General features: G+C 49.1%; 5 annotated features.

Moving 5' to 3' along the window:
* Positions 3534–4080: an enhancer, noted in NCBI's record as "H3K27ac-H3K4me1 hESC enhancer chr5:139526021-139526567 (GRCh37/hg19 assembly coordinates)". NCBI's record gives its function as "activates a minimal SCP1, AML or CMV promoter by ChIP-STARR-seq in naive H9 embryonic stem cells {active_cell/tissue: H9 hESC(naive)}" and the evidence as "EXISTENCE:reporter gene assay evidence [ECO:0000049][PMID:30033119]".
* Positions 4081–4627: an enhancer, noted in NCBI's record as "H3K27ac-H3K4me1 hESC enhancer chr5:139525474-139526020 (GRCh37/hg19 assembly coordinates)". NCBI's record gives its function as "activates a minimal SCP1, AML or CMV promoter by ChIP-STARR-seq in naive H9 embryonic stem cells {active_cell/tissue: H9 hESC(naive)}" and the evidence as "EXISTENCE:reporter gene assay evidence [ECO:0000049][PMID:30033119]".
* Positions 4081–4665: a biological region, named in NCBI's record as "H3K27ac-H3K4me1 hESC enhancer GRCh37_chr5:139525474-139526020".
* Positions 4098–4392: a silencer, noted in NCBI's record as "tiled region #8105; K562 Repressive non-DNase unmatched - State 4:PromP". NCBI's record gives its function as "represses a minimal TATA promoter and a strong SV40 promoter by Sharpr-MPRA in K562 cells {active_cell/tissue: K562}" and the evidence as "EXISTENCE:reporter gene assay evidence [ECO:0000049][PMID:27701403]".
* Positions 4446–4665: a silencer, noted in NCBI's record as "silent region_16445". NCBI's record gives its function as "represses an Ori minimal core promoter by ATAC-STARR-seq in GM12878 lymphoblastoid cells {active_cell/tissue: GM12878}" and the evidence as "EXISTENCE:reporter gene assay evidence [ECO:0000049][PMID:35858748]".

The raw sequence follows: 19026 nt of genomic DNA, 5'->3' as shown, positions 1-19026 counted from the left end.
CCCTGCCCAGAGTGCCAGATGGCCCAGCTGCTGTCCTTGCCTCTTCCAAAAGCTTGGGGAGGTCTTGCTGCATCTTCCCATGTGGGAAACTCAGGCAGGCAGGCAGCCCTGCCTACCAGGGACCAAATGCACTGGCCTGGAGGCCATAGGGTGTTCCTGTAACTAGAGAGCAGGGATGGAATGGGATGAATGCAGGGCCAGGAAGGTGAGAACAAGGATCATACCTTTGCTCGGTGCCACACTTCAGGCTTTCCAAAGAGGATTCTCAAACTTTTCTCTCCACAGAAATGGCTCATGGGCAATGACACCAGGAGCAGAGGAGGCCCCTTTTTCTGTGCTGGGGTCTCAGCACCAACCAGACCAGTGTTGTGGCCACCCTGAATATGGAGTGTCTGGCAGAAGGGAAGGCTTCTGGCAGAAGGGGAGGCCGAGAGACCCACATCTGCAAAGGCCAGGGCCACAGGAAGAAAGCAGTGATATAAAGCACTTCCCAAAGTCCTAGGCTTGGGCCAAACTACGTATAGCAACTCAAGGGTTAATCCCCACCCCACCCTCATCAGTCTCATCCTAAAGAGAAAAGGAAGCAAAACAGAGACCACGGCTGCCTGAGGTGGCAGGCTGCCTTATCTGTTGTGGCTGCTGCTGGATAACCTGCGGCACTGCCATGGGTACTTGTGTGCCAGCTGAGGGACAGGCATTCCCAGGCGGGCCACCCTGGAGATCCCCCCTGGTGAGATCAAGAGGCATGAGACAGAGGCTATGCCCAAGGACTTAGGCCAGTTGGTGGCCCTGGACACATTTGCTCCTTAAGGCTGAGGCCTGGGTCAAGCTCCCAGCATTGCATAGCACCCTCCTCCCAGCCACCAGCCATGGGTTGGCACCCTGGTGAGGAGCTGGCCCTGCTGAGGGGCCCTGTACCCCTGTTCAGGGAGAACACAGGGATCCTCAGCCTTCTCTGAGCCAGCCTATGGTGGGTGGGCCTTGCAGGGGCTATCTCTTGCCCAGGTACTGGTATTCCCAAGGTGGTCTTTGGCTGCGTGGGTGGCACAGTCCTTACCTGGAAGCAGAGCAGCCTGCCCCACCCAGATCCATGTCACAGTGTAGAGTGGATGAGAAGTCAAAGCCAGGCAGGACCAGGCGTCTGGAATAGCCATTTTGTTGGATGGGTCCCAGGCCCAGGGCTCTGCTGCCCAGGCCCTGCCATTCTTCTGAGGGACAGGGGTGGGGAACTTATCCTAGCCAGGCCTTAAAAATGAGAAGGCCAGCCTGTAATCCCAGCAATTTAGGAGGCCGAGGCAGGCGGATCACGAGGTCAGGAGATCGAGACCATACTGGCTAACGCGGTGAAACCCTGTCTCTACTAAAAATACAAAAAATTAGCCGGGTGTGCTGGTGGGCGCTTGTAGTCCCAGCTACTCGGGAGGCTGAGGCAGGAGAATGGCATGAACCCGGAAGGCAGAGCTTTCAGTGAGCCGAGATTGTGCCATTGCACTCCAGCCTGGGTGATGGAGAGAGACTCTGTCTCCAAAAAAAAAAAAAAAACAAAAAAAAAAAAAAAATGAGAAGGCCAGAGAACCAGTGGAGTGGAGGCTGGGGGTGGGTGGGGTGTGTGAATGTCAATGTGCCAAACCTCATCACTCCTCTCCTAGGAGTTCTTTCATTAAATGCCCCAATCCCAGCTCCTCCTCCCATGGTCCATGGAACACAGAAGGCTGGGACTCAGCGGCCGCACAAGCCTGAAGCCCCACCCCTTAGCTGGCCTGAAAACTTCAGTCAGTGACCATGCGGGGCACTAGAACCTCCTGCCACCAATCAACAGGAAGCAAGGAGAGATGCCCGGGTATCCTCAGAGAGGGAGGGGCCATGCAGAGGGGCTGGCAGATTTTCTCGGTGTGGGGAATGAGGGATAGGGCACAGGAAGGGACGTTCTCAAGGGTCTAGGGTCATGTTTCAGGAGGAAGATAAGCACCAAGCCAAGTTCTACCAGGTATATGCCTGGCTCCTGCACCTCCCATGGTCCTTCCCATTCAGCCGGGCTTCCTGTCTCCTGGCCTTTCTATAGGTGCTCAAAGCATCCTGTGATTCTCTTTATCATGGCTTATAATTCTCTGCTTGCCAAGTGGTTTGATTAATGTCTGTGTCCCCTATAAACCATGACTCTACACGGTGGCATTCTAAGGATGGCAGAATCCCCAGAATCCTATACTTGTCTTCATCGCTGTCTACCTAAGAACTTAGCACTCCCCAGGGCGTAGCACACAGTAGGTGCTCAGTGTACATTTTAGTGAATGAATGAATAAAGGAATAAATTTCCCCATCAACCACCATGAGCTCTAGGAGGGCAGTAATTGCTTCTTGTTTGTTTTTGCATCCACAACCCGTGGCCTGGTGCCTGGCACAAAGTAGGTTCCCATTAAATTGTGTGGGATACTCACAATTTGGGTATCTCTCCTGGGAAGAAAGGGGTCCCTGGCAGGGATAAGGAGAAAAGGCAGTGCTAACTGGAAGAGGGTGAGAGGTGAGGTTTGGGTGGCTGAACTGGGGTGCTCTTCCAGACAGGTTTGGGTGAATGGGGAAGCTCTGTGGGAGCCACTCCTGGTAAGCACTCACCTATGAGAAAATTTGAGGAAGACACAATACTGCAGCAAGGTAGTAGTCTAAGCCAGAGCCAGAGGCCATGGCCACACAGGCTATTCCCCCACCCCATTCCCAGAGCCTCCTAAGGGTGGGGACAGGAGCAGGGCTCCAACAAGTGCCACTCTTTAGACCTGAGGGTCTTGTGGTCATGTGAGGCTCTGGACTTCAGGTCACTCCTTGCCTTTGCAGGGCCAGGGAGTCTAAGACACATACGGGAACTGAAGGACAGAGGGAGTGGGTGTGGGGTCTTGCCCTGGGCTTGGAGTAGATCCCCTGTACTGTCTGCAGAGTGTCAGTGCTGTGTCCTGGGAGATGAGGCTCCCCTTGGGGATGCAGAGTCACTGAGGGCCTCTAAACATGGGATCAATTGCTGGGTCTATTTTTGATGTCTGGATGAAGTAAGGAGGAAATAGTCTCCTAGGACCCAGGTTCCAGATGCTAAAGAAAGTTAATGTCTGGAGTTTGCAACCCAGTCCCACACCTCAGAGTCTGAAAGACACTTAGGTTATAAAGTGTCTCATGGACACCCTGGTGGGCAGTGCAGTGCCCTCATCCAGGACTTCCCTCCCTCAATGATTTGAGCATCTATCTAACCAACCCTGAATCAAAATAAGGACTGACACAGATGTCAGACCTGGCACTCCCCATGTGGAAACCTGTGCTGAATGTTAGGATTTGAAGCCAAAGCATATGTGAAGCTTCAGAATTAACTTTTAATTCTTGCTTTAAGTTGCAAAAAACGAAAACAAATAAAAAAAACCCCACCAAATCTAACCAAACCAAACCAAAACAAAATGTGGGTGATTAACTAGCAGACAAGTAGAGAGGGGCTGTTTCAAAAACTTCCTAAACATAACTTCCTTTTACTCAATGGTAGAAACTTTTACCTGGAGTGGATACTGGCTAGTATGTGGACACACAGGGGAATTTTTTTTTTTTTTTTTTAACACAGGTTTATCACCAACTCTGGCAGTTTTGAGAAAGACTCACTTGGGTTCTAAGGAACAGAATTTTTCTGTGAAAACTGCATCTCATCAAGCTGAAAGATCTCCAGCAGTGCCAAGGCCAGGGAGCAGGTCTCTGTCCTCAGCTGCCAGCTTGTTGGCTGCAGCCCCAAAAGACCTACTGATATTTGGTCCTCATCAAGAGCTGACCCAGAGAGTCCATGTATGCAACTGTAAACCCACTTTTTTCCCCCTATTTTGTTTTCCTTTCAAACCTAAAGCTAGATGTGGCCGTTTCGCCGCCCAAGGGGACTGTGTCGTGGAGGCCCGGCTCGGGTCCGAACAGGCAGAGGCCCGCTCCAACAGGTGCGCAGCGTGTGCGCGCGGCCAGCTTGGGGCCGGCCACACAGCCCCCAGCAGCTCGCCCCGGGTCTCTCCCGCTGCACCCAGCCTCACCCAGAGCCCGAGGACGCAGAGAACGGCCTGCGCACCGCCCGCGGCTGCTTCGGAGGGGTGAGGGGGTACAGCGAGAAACAGAGCTGCGTCTCCCTCGTCCCCTCCTTAAATTCCGGCGTCCTCCAGTCACAGTGTCCCAGGTGCGGCCTACTCAATCACCCACCCCAAAACCTGGAAAGCCGCGAGAGCAGAGCTGGAGCTGCCAGGAGGGCAGCGGAGGGGAGGGAGGGGAGCTGGGTGAACCCCTGGGCAGTGTTCTGTGCGCGACGAGCCAGGCATGCTGACGGCCTGACCACCTGTGCGGGCGCGCAGCACCTACGGCCCCCCACCCCTAGGCCTGGGCGCACAGAGCCACCGAGAGGGCTTGAGGGTGGGGCTGGAAGTCTCTGCCCGGCTGGTCTGCGGCGGCGGAGGGAAGTTGCTTCTTCCCTGGCCGGGCCTCTCCGGAGCGCAGTGCCGGCGCGCCCGGAGTCCGAGGAGCCGGCGGGCACCCCATTCGCCCCCTGGCGGCGCCGGGGACACGCCGGGAGCCGTTGTAGCCGCCGCAGCCGCAGCCGCCGCCGCGGCGGAATGAGCTGTCCACAGCAGCACTGGGTGCCGCCCGAGGTCACGCAAGAATCTGGCGGGAGGCTGGGAACTGGGAAGGCAGGCCGCCTTTGAAGGCATGGGGAGAGACGATAGAACAAAGCAACTATGAGATTTGGGGGCTTCCCCTGGATCCACATCCTCCAAGTCCCGCATGGGCTTCCCCACTAGTGTGGTGACTAACACCCAGGGATCTCATCCCTGAGTGGTCTTCCCTCCCTCACCCAATCTCCCTCTTGTTCTCACCCTTTCTAGAAAATGTCCCCATATCTCTCCTCCTTCTGCAGTGACCTGACAATGACAGCCTTGGGAGACCCAGCCACATCCCGGCCCTGCCACACCCCAAAGAACTCTGAGGTGGGGCCAGGAGGTCATTAGGAGAGGAGCAGCATTCAAAATGATCCTTTGAGTGCACATTGGGAGCCTGGCATTGCCCTTGGCCTTATGGGAGGTGGAAGATGTTGACCTCCTGGTGCTTCCAATCTCAGAAGACAAACACACTCAAGAGACAATGGCATAGCAGTGGCCTGGCAGCAGGAGCCTCAGGGGAGGGCATGGCGGAGATGGGCTGGAGTGTGAACACTGGAGTTATCAGAACGTGCTAAGTGGACAGGATTTGGAAAGAGAAAGAGAGTATTCCTGGACCAATCTGGAGCATAGTGGAGGGCTGTCATGAGAAAGCTAGTGGGGCCAACCTCAAAGGCCCTATAAAAGATCTGTTTCTGCAGCGCTAGAGACAGAGGGGAGGAGCAAGAGCTGGAGGCTGCAAGCCCCTCTGGGAGGCAGCAGCAGTAGCCTGCTCTGAAGTGATGGCTGAGGCAGGGAGAGGAAAGCTGCCACTTTCACAGTCCTGAGGGGCATGCCTGTAGGTGGGGAAGCAGGGTTTCCAGGCTTCTTGAAGAGGATGGCTCATATACTACCAAAAAAAAAAAAAAAAAAAAAAAGAGAGAGAGAGAGATTTGGTCAGACTCAGGTTTTTGTTAGAAAGGAAGAAGCTGGGGCCAGGTGCGGTGGCTCACGCCTGTAATCCTAACACTCTGGGAGGCCAAGGCGGACAGATCACCTGAGGTCAGGAGTTCAAGACCTGCCTGCCCAACATAGTAAAACCTCATCTCAACTAAAAATACAAAAATTAGCCAGGCGTGGTGGTGCGCACCTGTAGTCCCAGCTACTTGGGAGGCTGAGGCAGGAGAATTGCTTGAACCCAGGAGGTGGAGGTTGCAGTGAGCCCAGATCACGCCACTGCACTCCAGCCTGGGTGACAGAGTGAGACACTGTCTCAAAAAAAGAAAAAAAAAAAAAAGGAAGAAGCCGGGTCATGGCAGGGTAGAGGGAGCAGCTCCAGGCTATGTCCGAAACTGAAAAGATTAAAACGAGTGAGGGGAGATGGGGAGAGGTGAAGCAGTCATTCCAGATACAGAGGCAAATAGAAAGGACCAGAAAGCCCCCTGAGGAGAAGGAAGCCCAAAAGGCAGCAGCCTGTCTGAGGGACCAGCAGGGGGCGCAGGGGTCTCCGAACTTCAGGCTCACCAGAGCTGGCTTTAGCTGACAGTCTGGCTGTCTATTTCTGCCCCATTTCCCATTTTACTTTGCCTACCAAAGTCGTCTCAGGTAATTGGGGAGATTCCCTTCCCACCCAGCTTCTGGCTTTGTATAGAACCCATGGCAAACCCAGAATGAAACTGTCAGGCCTCATTGTGCCCTCCAGCCCAAATCTGTCCAGGGAAGGTCTTAGGGATGCTGTTTATCTTGCCCTAGTGTTTGATGTAGGAGAGCCATCTTTCTGGCAGCTGGTGACAGACCATTGGGTCCTGTCTCAGTGGCATGTCTCTCCACTTGGTCTTGGCTTCCAGAAAGGCTTGTCCATTTCTGAGGCTGGGCTGCTTTATGGTAACCTCCCAACCTGACTCTGAGGCAACCTTTGATAGGGTCAAGCCTGGAAGACAGACTGAAAAGCCCACTCAAGCACTGGCTATGTGGGCACTTCCATAGGGAGGACTGGGGCTGCTGAGATGATGAGTTGAGAAAGTTAGGGGCTGACTGTTTAGAGCCAGCAACCACAAAGAGGGCTTTGAGCAATGGGACTCCCCTGCAACCACACCAGCAGGACAAGCTGTGAGGTGCTTATCAGGCATGGTGGCCCTGGAGGAGGGAGAGGATAGAGGGAAAGCACTGTCACCAAATTTCTCCACAAAGTGACGGCTTTGGGCACTTCACAGGACAGCGCTAGCACTGCCTCGGGGCTCAAGGAAGCACCATGTGGAAGAAGGACAGGGCCAAAACTCTTCTGGGATAAGTCTGAGGTGGGGTTCTGGTGTGCACAGGAACAGGGGTGAGGGAAGGAGGAGAAGAGGGTCCTGGCCTAGCAGGGGACCCTATAGGCCCATACTCCTTTGCCCAGGCCAGGTTTCCTTTTCTTTGCAGTTAAATTACAGCTAAAGGAAAGACTACATTTACTTGTGCTTTGCTTGAATTCCTCTGGAGTCAGCCACTACCACCTTCTCCCTCTTCTACAAGGGGCCTAGGTTAACATAGAGAGAAGCATGCCTCACTTACTCAAGTATGATGCTCATGTGCAGGAGCCTGAGGGTCTGTGTCCCATGGCCTCTGCTACCATCACTCCTCTCTCCCTTGGAAAAGGCCCCAAAGGGAAACATGGTCTCCCAGGGACCTTTCTCTGCCATTCCTTTTCAAAATTTATAAACACAGCTATCAATTTCTAAGTCCCGGCTACGTGTCAGACACGGTGGTAAACATGACCACTGTGTTCACGCATGTCAGATGCATGACCTCATTCACTCCTCACAATAGCTCAGAGGCCCATCAGCCTGACTCCTTGGCTGGCTTCGGTTCCCAACCCCAGCCGGGAGCAAGGGGTTGAAGTTTGTTCCCCAAGCTGATACAGAGGACACAGTTCAGTCTTGGCGTCACTCACTGTGTGGTGGCTCAGTTAATATTAATTAACTCTGAGGACAAGCTGCACTTTGACTCACCTCTGGCTAATTAAATAAACCTGGCATGTAAATCAGCAGAGGGAATAGAGAGACATTAGGCTGTGCTGAATGGATATTGGGCTCTCAGGGGTAAGACTGTTGACCTCCAAGTAGAAAATCTACCTTGGCCTGCTCTGGCTCTCTTCAAGTTCTCCGAAGCTAGGGCCAGAGTAGTATCAATGAGGAATAACCTTGCATCTCAGAGAAAGCCTTGCTCCTGAAGCCCTGAAGAACTGAGAGGAGGGAATCAGGGTTTGGATGCCCCTTGGGTACCACGGGCCCATGATGACATAAGGGTTCTCTAAGGAACCAAGACAGAACTGCTTGGCCTTCCCTCTCTCCCCTCACACCATCCCCATCCCTGAGGCATCATGTCCTGATGGTCCTGAGTCAGCTGGGGGAGGCCTGAGGCCCACGGAAAAGACATGGTGTGAACGTCCCTTCCAGCCATGCCTGGCAGTTTTGAACTGCTGGGGCTGGCAGATGCCTCCTCGTGCTCTGCCTCCCTTCTGGTCCTCCCTGAAGAAAATGAGCTATGGCAATGTCCCAGGTCTTCTGAAGGTGAGGCTGTCTCTCTGACCAACGGGGAGACCTGGGGCAGGCCACTTAACCTGATCAGGCCTTGTCCCTTCTTGGTAAAACAAAGAAATTGCAATGTCAGCCTCACAAGAGGGCAGAGAAGAGTCACAAAATATGTAAACTGCTGCCCACTGCTTTGCACAAAGTAAGGGCTCAGTCAGTGGTGGCTATTCTATGATTACGATGATGATGAAGATTGTATGTGGTTCATAACAACCAACTATACCTCCCAGTAATGCTGGGCTGTCTTGAGACATACCTGGAGTAGCTACTGTGATTAAGCCCTAAGCTGTCACTTTGAAAGTAGCCTTTTTCTATATGTAAAAAGAGAGAACACTACCTTAAAATAATGTCTATGAAGGTAACATGTAAAAATAAAATGAGATAAGTAAGGTAAGGGTGAAGGCAAGGGGAGAGTGAGAATGTGAGTTGCTGAGAAAGGACACAGGGTACATCAGGATGCCTGTGTCCCTTCCCCTCCCATCCATGTCCCTCCCTGCAGCCACCTGGATCCCATGCCTCTCAGAGTCCCCATCCCTCCCCCTCCCCTGGGCTAATGTTTGGAGCATGGCTTAGGGTAAGGGCCAATTCTGGGGGCCTGTAGCTCACGGTAGGCCGTTCCCCACTATGTCCTCTCCTATGGAAAGATGCACCTGTCACCACTGTGGACCAGCAGAAGTCCTGCAGAGTTCCCAAGAGCTAGCAAGCAGGCACAAGACAAACATTTACATTCAACACATTGGAACAGATCAAATGTGGTTCTCAAAAAGCTCAGACTTGCAAGCTTTGGAGAAGGCCCAGGTTTGGCTCCCTTTAACTCCCAAACAAATTCTTGTGGGATGTTGCAATTACTTGTGACAATCCCTCTCCCTGCCTGGGACTTTGATTTCAGATTTAGACATGTAAAACTGGGTGGCTGGCTAGGTCTTAAGCAACTTGGTGGGTGGGGTGGGGACTGGGGAAAATTCTTTGCAGCACATTGTGTGTAGAAGAGAGATCTTGAGGAATCAGATGCTGTAGCTCTGTTTGTGTTACTAGAACTTTTCAGCCACTGTGGCAGATTTTCTGTCTCTGGAAGTTGGTCGCTCTGCTGGGGAGTGGCTCATTTTGTCTTTTGAAACACAAATGTCTAGAAATTATTTTCTGTGATAGTCTTATGTTAGAATAACTTTTCAATCATTGTATCAAATTCCACAGTCTTTACCCTGGTATCTTATCCCCTGGATAAGTAGCAGATGAAGAAGAGTCAAGGCTAGGCGGAATATTTTAATGGTAAAGTGTGCTGACCTGGCCTCAGAGGAGCCTGGAAGCAGGAGGAGGTGATGCATAGAAAGTCAAGTAGATGCAGAAGTGAGAGAGGAACATGGCTGAGCAAAGTGTGTCTGGGTGTAGGGACTCTATGGCCTTTATGGGTACGGAGGTGTATATGCAAAAGGTTTTGGGCAAACTTCCTGTGTCTTTCCTTTGCTATTGTACCTGGCCTTAAAGCACATTCAGCCCTTTGGGAGAACTTCAACCCTGTGTTGGGCTCCTGTTTCCTACTTTCTGGCTTCTGCGACACCTGGTCTGACAGCCACACAACTTTAGTTCTGACCCTTTTGGCTTTCACACTGGCAATAACACAACGGATACTGCTGTCCCTGAAAGGGATTTGAGTGAAGAGGCTAGGGCCTTCTTGCTTCACCCCTAGGCTTTTGGCAGTCAGCCTAACCTAGAAGCCTGCCTCTTGAGGCTGGTACACATGACAGAAATCAGGGAACAAAAATGGCTAGGACTTCCTAGATGCTCTGTGGAGTTCAGCCTGTTGGCAAATCTGGGGTGATAAGCGCTTGCCTTTAGGATTGGGAGATGGCAGATCACCAACACTGCCATTCCTCTTCCCCCCTCTCGACTCTTCTCCCAGGATATCACTGTGTCTGGACAAAGCTTAGAAATTACATAAAACAATGTGAGGGAGAGAGAAGGTCAGCATGAGGAGTTTTGTTTTAGGTCAACCAGGTTATCAGGGGAGTCTAGATAAAGGGAAACATTAGGCTGTATGATTCTAGAATAGAAATATTAGAATTCCTGGGGGAATAAGAGAAGGGAGATCCTGAGAATGGGATGTGAAGGCAGGGGAGAAAAGAGATGGGACAATCCCCCAGGAGTTCTTTTAGGTCTTAGAAAGATAAAGCTCAGAATTCCTGAGCAAAAGCAAATGCTCAGCTGTTTAATCCATTTCTAAATGGGAGGAGAGAATGAGTAAGCTAGGATCATAGGACATTACAATACAAGGGTCTGGTGGCTCAGGGAACCAGCCAAGGGAAACTGAGGGACTGTAGGAGTCAGGAAAAGAGAAGATATCTTCCCTGGGGGCCTTTAAGAACATAGCCGAGACATTCTGTTTCTGGATGAGAAGACTCGATATTGTGAAGATTATCAACTCTTCCCCAACTTTCCTATGTAATCAATAAAATCTCAACTGCAGTCCTAATAGGACTTGTTAAATGAAACTTAACAAGCTGATTGGAAAGTACATCTGGAAGGAAAAAACATGTGAGAACAGCAAAATGATTTTGGGAGGAAAAAAACAAAGGAGAAAAACATACGGTATCAAACCATACCTAAAAGCTACATAAATTAAAATAGCATGGTTGGTAGAAGAATATAAAAAAGTTCAATGCAACGGAGAATCCAGAAATAGCCTCATGTATGTATAGGAGTTTTGATTACAAGAAGAGTAGTACTTCAAGACACTGGGGAAAAAGATGGCCTATAGAATCTGGGCAGCATGCGACTCTCAGAAAAAAAAAAAAAAAAAATCCCTAACTCACACCATTTATGAAAATAAATTCCAGATGGGACTAACATAGAAACACAACTATAAAATGAGTATAAAGAAAATATAGGAGAGTATGTTTATTATCTGGAGATAGGGAAGCCTTCTTTAAGAACCATAAAATACAAAGCCATAAAGTAAAGGAGTAATACATTTGATTACACCAAAATAAAAAGCCTCTGTATAACCCAAGGCACCATTAATAAGGTTAAAAGAATGAGTTGGCCTGGACTGAGGGGTGGCCCATTCTGCTAGGAAGCAGACTGTGAGATGAGATGGCCTTGGAGGCCTATCTGCTCCCTCACAATTCCCTCAAAAGAAGTCACGGTTTGAGAGGAAGCAAATAAATGCCAGAGGGTGGCCATTCCCCATTGTCCATCATCCATAGAGCCCTATAATCAAGAGATAAGTCATAGTTATCAAGAGCCAGCTCAAAATGAGTTGATAAGTGGAGCAGGGTACAAGAGACAGTAAGCGAGATGGAAGGAGTAGAAACAATTTTGCTGGCCTCAGGGTAGGAGCAGGAGGAAGGGCTGCCTCTGTCAGAAATCACAGTCTCCAGTCCTTGGGCCCATCTTTCTGAGTGGATGTGGTATAGGCAACTGCTCCCAAGACTTCACTTTCCCTGAGTAGGGAGCTTCTGGGGAAGAGCATATGGGGAAAATGTCACCCTGTATGGGCTTTAATAATCTCCATGAGACCCCCTGAGCTCTGTGGGGATCAGGGCTGTCTTGGAATAATGGCCTCTGCCCAGACCCCCAGTGGCAGTGATGATAGATATGCCCATATTCTTGGGTGGGCTTGCATGGTCTGATAGCTCCAAGTCAGAGGCTTATGTCTTGGAGACAGGACTGTTTCTTTTTTATTTTCTTTTAGACAGAGTCTTGCTCTGTCGCCCAGGCTGGAGCGCAGTGGTGCGATCCCGGCTCACTGAAACCTCCGTCTCCTGGGTTCAAGCAGTTCTCTGCCTCAGCCTCCCGAGTAACTGGGATTACAGGCGCCCACCACCACTCCTGGCTAATTTTTTGTATTTTTAGTAGAGACGGGGTTTCACCATGTTGGCCAGGCTGGTCTTGAACTCCTGACCTTGTAATCCACCCACCTCATCCTCCCAAAGTGCTGGAATTACAGGTGTGAGCCACTGTGCCCAGCCTGACATGACTCTGTTTCATGTCTGGAGAACACTCTGATACAAGGCCCCCGAAGCAAAGTGAAACTGTTGTCCCGTGGAGGCTTTACCAGCCAGCTTACCCTATGGGGATCAGGCTGTTTCCTAGAGAAGCCAGGGAATTACTGTACTCAGCTACTCTCAGCTCATACTTCCCACTTGTGAGCTGACTGAGCTCAGAGGGTGTTTGCCTGATTCAGGTAGTACGGCAGCCACATTCAAGTCTTATGAAACCTCTGTGGCATTCTGATGCCATTTGGTAAACTGCATTGAACACATGGACCTGGGGTTAAGAGAAAGGGAAAATTTTGCAGCAAGGGATGTCGATGCCATTTTCTAATATGAGCAAGGGGATGTAACAAAGAATGATGGATACTGAGAAAAGCAGGAGGCAGTATCAGGACTGGCCAGAATTGAAGCATAGCCTCAGTGATGGAATCACATTCCAAGAAGCATCAAACAATCTCACAGGCCCCAATTTGACTTTCAGAGATATGATTCAGGATTTGGAGAGTGAGGATTAAGGAATAAATAAGCACAGCTGAGGATAAGATCAAGGTACCTGACCCCTCAGGAAAGGATGCCACGGGGTGACGAGAAACCATTGACCCCTGAGAAATTTTTTAAAAAAATGGACTGTGGAGCTTAGATTCAATGTCTCTAAAAGGAAAGGAAACAATTCCTTTATATAAATGCACAAACAATGGCTAAGTACCAAACTACATACCAAGCATTCAAGTGAGGGCAACATAAAACAACCTCTGTGCCTCCTACCATTACTACCAGCAACACACACCTAGTGAAGTCACCCAGCCCTGCCCCCATCTCTGAGATGAGACCAGACCAGTCCATTCATTTGGCACAACATATGTTAGTTTGAATACCTTCTAACATGCAACCAAATTTCAGGGAAAATAGGGGATATTTAGTGAGCTCAAAAACTCCAACTTCCCAAATGGATATGGGAGGCTCCAATCAGCCAACACAGTTCCAATAAGGAGAGTAGCTGTCTTCTCTCTCAATGCCTAAACAACACCGCTTCCAGGCGCTTTTTCACTAACAGTCCTGATGATCAGCCAGGTTGAAGGCTACAGTCTTTTAGAGACCCCATGGAGGAAGATGCTGTCTTTACTCTCAGATCAGGACCAGTGATTCTGAACCTATTTGGGCTGTGGCTCCTCTTGAGAGTTTTTATGAAAACTATGGCTCCTCTTCTCAGAAAAATGTACATTGCACATACGGATATAATCTGTAAAACTTCAGGAGCTTTAGACCCCCAAAAGCCCCAGCTTAAGAATTCTTGCTGAAGACAAATCACTCCTTTTCTTACTCAAGAGCTGTTTTCCAGGGCTGATTAACTACCATCTTAGATGTCCAACAGGTGAGTGAATATTCAGCACTGAACTCTAGTCATCCCATGCCATTGGCAGATGGCTGGGTCTCTGCTGTTGCCTGAAGCCAGAAGGAAGCAAAGCCCCTAGACCGAGACCACATTTTGTTTTTCAAAGGAGCACTCTACTCCACCCCCACCAGAAAACCTCAGACACCCCAGGCCTGGAACACAGACACAAAGTGACAAGACAGAAATAAATCTGGTGCAGTATACAACTACATCTGTGAAGACAGCCATAGACTGGGCTCTTCTTGGGCTGGCAGGCCAAAGCTGAAATGGAGAGTCAGATGGGTCCTCCTTTAGCTAAATGCACACTAGCTGATCGTTCCAGAGAGGCACCTGCCCTTTTTTTTTTTTTTTTTGAGATGGAGTCTCTGTCGCCCAGGCTACAGTGCAGTGGCGTGATCTGGGCTCACTGGAACCTCCTCCTCCCAGGTTCAAGCGATTCTCCTGTCTCAGCCTCCCAAGTAGCTGGGATTATAGGCACCCACCACCACGCCCAACTAATTTTTGTATTTTTAGTAGAGACAGGGTATCACCATATTGGCCAGGCTGGTCTTGAACTCCTGACCTCCACCTGCTCTTTTTCACTGCCCCCTACCTGGAATGTAGAGGCTGCTAGAGGCTATGCCCTTATGAACTATTTAAGTTCCATATTTGTTTCCCTTTTTTCCAAAAATAATAATGATAGCAGCAGCATTGATTAAACATCAGTATTGAACAGTACTCTGTGCCAAGCACTATGCTATAAGCTCTTGGCATAAATTATTTCATCTTCCCCAAAATCAAATGAAGTAAAGCACTCTTGTTATCTCATTTACAAGATCAAGAAATAAGACTAGGAGAGGCTTAGTAGAGTTGCTTAAGGCCACAGAACTAGTGAGAGAGTGAGCCTGAATTTGCATTTAGGCCTGATTTCAAACCAATACTTTTAACCTCCACTCTCATGCTCCTCCCCAAAAGACCAATACTCAGACAAAGGCCTAGGAAATCGTCCAGAGTGATAATCTCCAGAGTGAGAGCTCTAGTTCTTGCTTCTGCCTCCCCATCCGCTGCCCACCATGTGGCAGCCTGGTTCTCAAAAGGGACTCACTTTATGGAGAGTTGATTGGAAATTCTCAAACTCTCTCTCCTATCTCTGTCTGACTTTGCTATTTGAATCCATACTCTATAGCCCTAAATTTATCTGGGAGCCTAAATTTATTTTAAACTCAGCTCAGCCCAGGAACCTTATTTCCCTTCAGGTTTGGAATCAAGGAGAAAGACTCATTTCTATTTGACCACTGGAACGTTGTTGGTGGGGGATTAGTTGTCATCAGTCCCATTTTAAATATTTGGGGTGTGTGTGTGTGTGTGGAGTGCTGAGAAACAGAGAGTAGAGTAGCCCAAGTTTGGTAAAGTGTCACCAATGGTGCTGGTGCCTTATGGGGGCCAGGATTCTCTAGACACCTCCTACCCCTCAGCATTTGGAAACAGGGCACATCAATTCTCAAATAGCTAGTCTCCTCCCTTTCCTCAGTTAGTGGATTCCAGGGAGAGTGAGTGCCCAGCAAACCAAGAGAAAGGTACAGAAGGATGTTGCCCATTGTATGCCCAGTGGCCAAGGGGGCCCCAAGTACCTGCTGAATGGCTAGAGCCTCAACCATGTTTTGGGAGGCAGTTGGGGGCAGAGTGGGCATTAAGCTATCTGCTGAGTCCAGGGTTGCTTGTCCTTGCCCCAGAGCCTCATCTCTGAGATTAAATAGGGAGAGGAGATGTTGGGCCTACACAGAGGTGGGAGATGCAGGAAGCTAACTGACTGCAGGTGAGAAGATCATCTCATCTTTAGGATCTCTGTTTTATACCACCTGTAGGACAGAGGAGAGATAAAGCAGTAACGACAGTACCCACCTTCAAAGTGGATGAGGAAGTCAGCCCCAGAGGCACAGGTGACTCCCAAAAATGGTCTGGACTCACTGGAGTCCAATGATTTTGTCATCAGATATTTGCAGAATGTCTGCTATGTGCCAGACTCATCTGGGCATTGGAGATGCAATGGTGAATCCTGCCCTCAGTGTTAGGCCATCAACAGAAAAAAACAATACATGAGAAAGACAATCTGGACAGTGATAAGCACTAGGAAGAAAACTGAAACAGACTGGTAAGGGAGTGACTGGAAGGGACCATTTCAGTTTGGTTGTCAGGGGAAGCCTCTTTGAAGAAAGAACATGAGATCTGAGGCTTGATTATGAAAAAGGGCTAGCTAGCCATCTGAAGATCTGGGGGAAGTGCATTCAAGGAAGAAAGAAAAGCAACGCCAAAGGCCCTTAGGTGGCGGTGGGCTCTGTGCATTTAAAAAACAGAAAGGCAACCACTATTGCTTGAGAGAAATGAACAAGTGGGTGAGAGGAAGGAGAGAAAGCTGGAGAGTTAAGTAGGGCCAGATCATAGAGGCCTTGTAACCATAGTAGAGTCAGACTTCTATTCTAAGTGTAATGGGAAGCAGGGAGTGACATCATCCAATTAGTACTTTTTAGAAGATCACTCTAGCTACTGTGTGAATGGATTACATAGGGCAATCATGGCAATAGGGGGACCAGTGAGGAGGCTGTTAGGTGAGAAAATTGGTGCCCACATCATTTGTCATCCAGACCAAGATAGTTGTGCAGGTAAACAGGGGTGCTACAAATAATTAAGCAGGGACAACAGGCATAACCAGATGGTCTCTGGCAAAGTGGGACATAGGGACACTCTGGATATGATAGATTAGGGCAGTAGTTTTCAAGGTGTTGTTCCTAGATCAATAGCATCAGCATCACCTGAGAACTTGTTAGAAATGCAAATTCTCAGGCTCCTGCCCCAGACCTTTGAATCAGCAACTTGGGATGAGCCCAGTGGTATATGTTTTAACGATCCCTTTAGGTGATGCAGGCTAAAGTTTGAGAATCACTTGAGCTAGTGCCAGTGGTATAGGTGATGAGGTGTGGCCAGACACAGGATATAGTCTGAATATGAGGGGTGAAAGAAACTAGAATGTGGAACCAGCTCTTTGTTTTTTGTTTGAGCGATGTGTATATGGTGGTGCCCTTTACTGCAACGGGAAGGACTAAGATGGGGAGAGGATGGGTTTTGTAAGGGGATTAAGCTTTTGTTTCAGATGTATAAAGTGAGAGTGAAGACATAGGCCTTTCTTCCCTGGGTCACCTCTCAGAATAAGGAAGCATTCTACCAGCCAGAGGGCAGCCAAGCTCTGCAGCTTTAGGCACTCTTTTCAGAGTCAACCTCCTTCTTATGAGTCCCTGAATTTAGAGTAGGGAACTTTTCCCAATGAAGTTGCTCTGAGTACCACTTCAAGTTATGGCCCAAGAATGACTGTGGAGAAAAAGTAGAGCACTGCCCTCAGAGCCAAATAACTGACTACTCGGGTGAAAACAGCTTAAGAAGGTACAAGTTGAGATGCTTTTATCTAGAAAATAAAAATCTAGGACTTGTCTTGGGAGTTCTCTTGGAGACCAAAGCTTGCCGATGACAAAGCTCTGGCTATCATGAACATAACCCAGCCAGGACTGTCACAGGAAGTTCAGCAGTTTTAGCAGTTGTGCTCCAACACACAGCTCCTAGGTCCAGGAGAAATCACTTTTCTATTTGGTCCTGGACTCCTAACCTGGCACCCCATGCCTGAGCATTTCGTTTTTGTTTAGAGTACATGGGCTACAGTTGCAGCACATAGAGGGAGTAGCAAGCCCTTATCCCTGTGCTGTCTGGTGCAGGGAATGCACACCATCAGTGACATCCAACAGTGCACAGATGAAAGGAGAAACAGGGAGTATGTGGCCACCCCTCCTTGTAGTGGTGCTAGAGCAGGTGGAAGCCAGAGACGGATAGACAAGCTCTAAGTTCCAGAGCAAGGATTCTTAACTTGGACCTTTGGGGAATCTGTGATGCAGTTGAGAGAGCCTCAAGCTTTCATCAGATTCTCAAGCCTAAAACTCCAAAAGAGATAAAGAACCTTTGCTTTAGAGAGCAGTGGTGCTCACACTTTAGTGTGCTTCAGAATCACGTGGAGGGCTTGTTACAATATGGATGCTGAGGCCCAGCCCTAGAGGTTCTAATTCAGTAGGTTTGGAGTGGGACCCAAGAATGTAAGGGGATGCTTGGCCCAGGGGCTACACTTTGAGAACCACTGCTTTAGAGGATACCAAAAACCACGAAGAGTTCAAGTTCAAATTATGATCTTTCCTTTTCAGACAGGAGTTCCAACAGATGCCATAGCCCTTGAAACTACCCCTAAGTCCCAAGGAACTTGAGATTTTATTTTTGGAAGAAGCCCCTGGAGAATTACAGACTCTGGACCTCTCCTTGAGGTCAGGAAACATCTGGGAAATAGCATTTTATAGGGTGCAGGAAAATGCCTCCAGAAACTTAAAAGCCCAAGCAAAACTGAGCTGAAAACTACATGGCTTTCTCTGGCTGATCCAATTGCTGCACCAATTGTTGGTGAACAGTGAGGTTTTGAGAATCTGGGCAGACCCAGATCCTCTCCTAGAGACTATCTCCTGATACTTGTTGAACTTGTGTCTGAAGCCACATGGGCTCAGTTAGGAGGCCTGCTCTAAGGAAGAAAGGGTGTCTGCTAAGGGATAGAAGCTGGGCATAGGAAGGAAATCAACTCAACTAGACAGAATTCAAGAGCCTCATTCACAGAACCCTTTGATCAGGTCATTGTGGTAAGGGCGGGAAGAGGCAGGAATAGTACTCAGGGCTGTGCTTACTTTAAGCAAGAGCAGTGGAGAGAGGCCTGGTAGGGCCATCTGCCAGCTTCCTTCAGACCTGCTCTGAGTAAGTCATTCCCCATGAAAGGGGAGGGGGAAATGAAAATGTGGATTCATTCATGAATCAACCTCTGAAACAGGAAGTGTGGCTTTTGAGCTATGCAGAAGAATCCTCCTTTGCTCCACGTAACGTTAGCTTTGACACTCAGCTACATATATCCTTAGGTGGGGCAAAGTCAAAGTCAGGGAGACCCTACAAATTAAGGGATGAGGAGGCAACTTCATAGAGAAGGCAACATATTAGAGTGATTGAGACTGTGGATGTGCTTTGCCATCATCCTACCTGGACCTGAATCCTGACTGTGGAGTTCTATGCATGTCATTTAATCGTTCTGTGCCTTAGTATCCTCATCTATAAATTGAGGGTAATAATAGTGCCTATTTCATAGAGTTATAGTAAGAATGAAGTAAAATAACACAGGTAAAATGCTTAGTTTGGTGCCTTGAATATTTAAGCACTCAATGTTTAAAAAATAAAGTGTGGTGAGCATGAAGAAATTTGGGATAGTGGCAGTACAGACCCACTCTAAGTGACACTGCCAGAAACAGAAAGTGGAGCTATGTTACAGCTACTGCTAGTCTCCACAGAAGGCTGACAGAGGTCTGAGGTGTGAGATGAGCATGCAGGGAGAGCCAGGATGC

This window comes from Homo sapiens, chromosome 5 (genome assembly GCF_000001405.40).
Source record: "Homo sapiens chromosome 5, GRCh38.p14 Primary Assembly".
Lineage (NCBI taxonomy): Eukaryota > Metazoa > Chordata > Mammalia > Primates > Hominidae > Homo > Homo sapiens.
The sequence above is the reverse complement of the archived record's forward strand: the minus strand, read 5'-3'. Positions and strand labels throughout refer to the sequence as shown.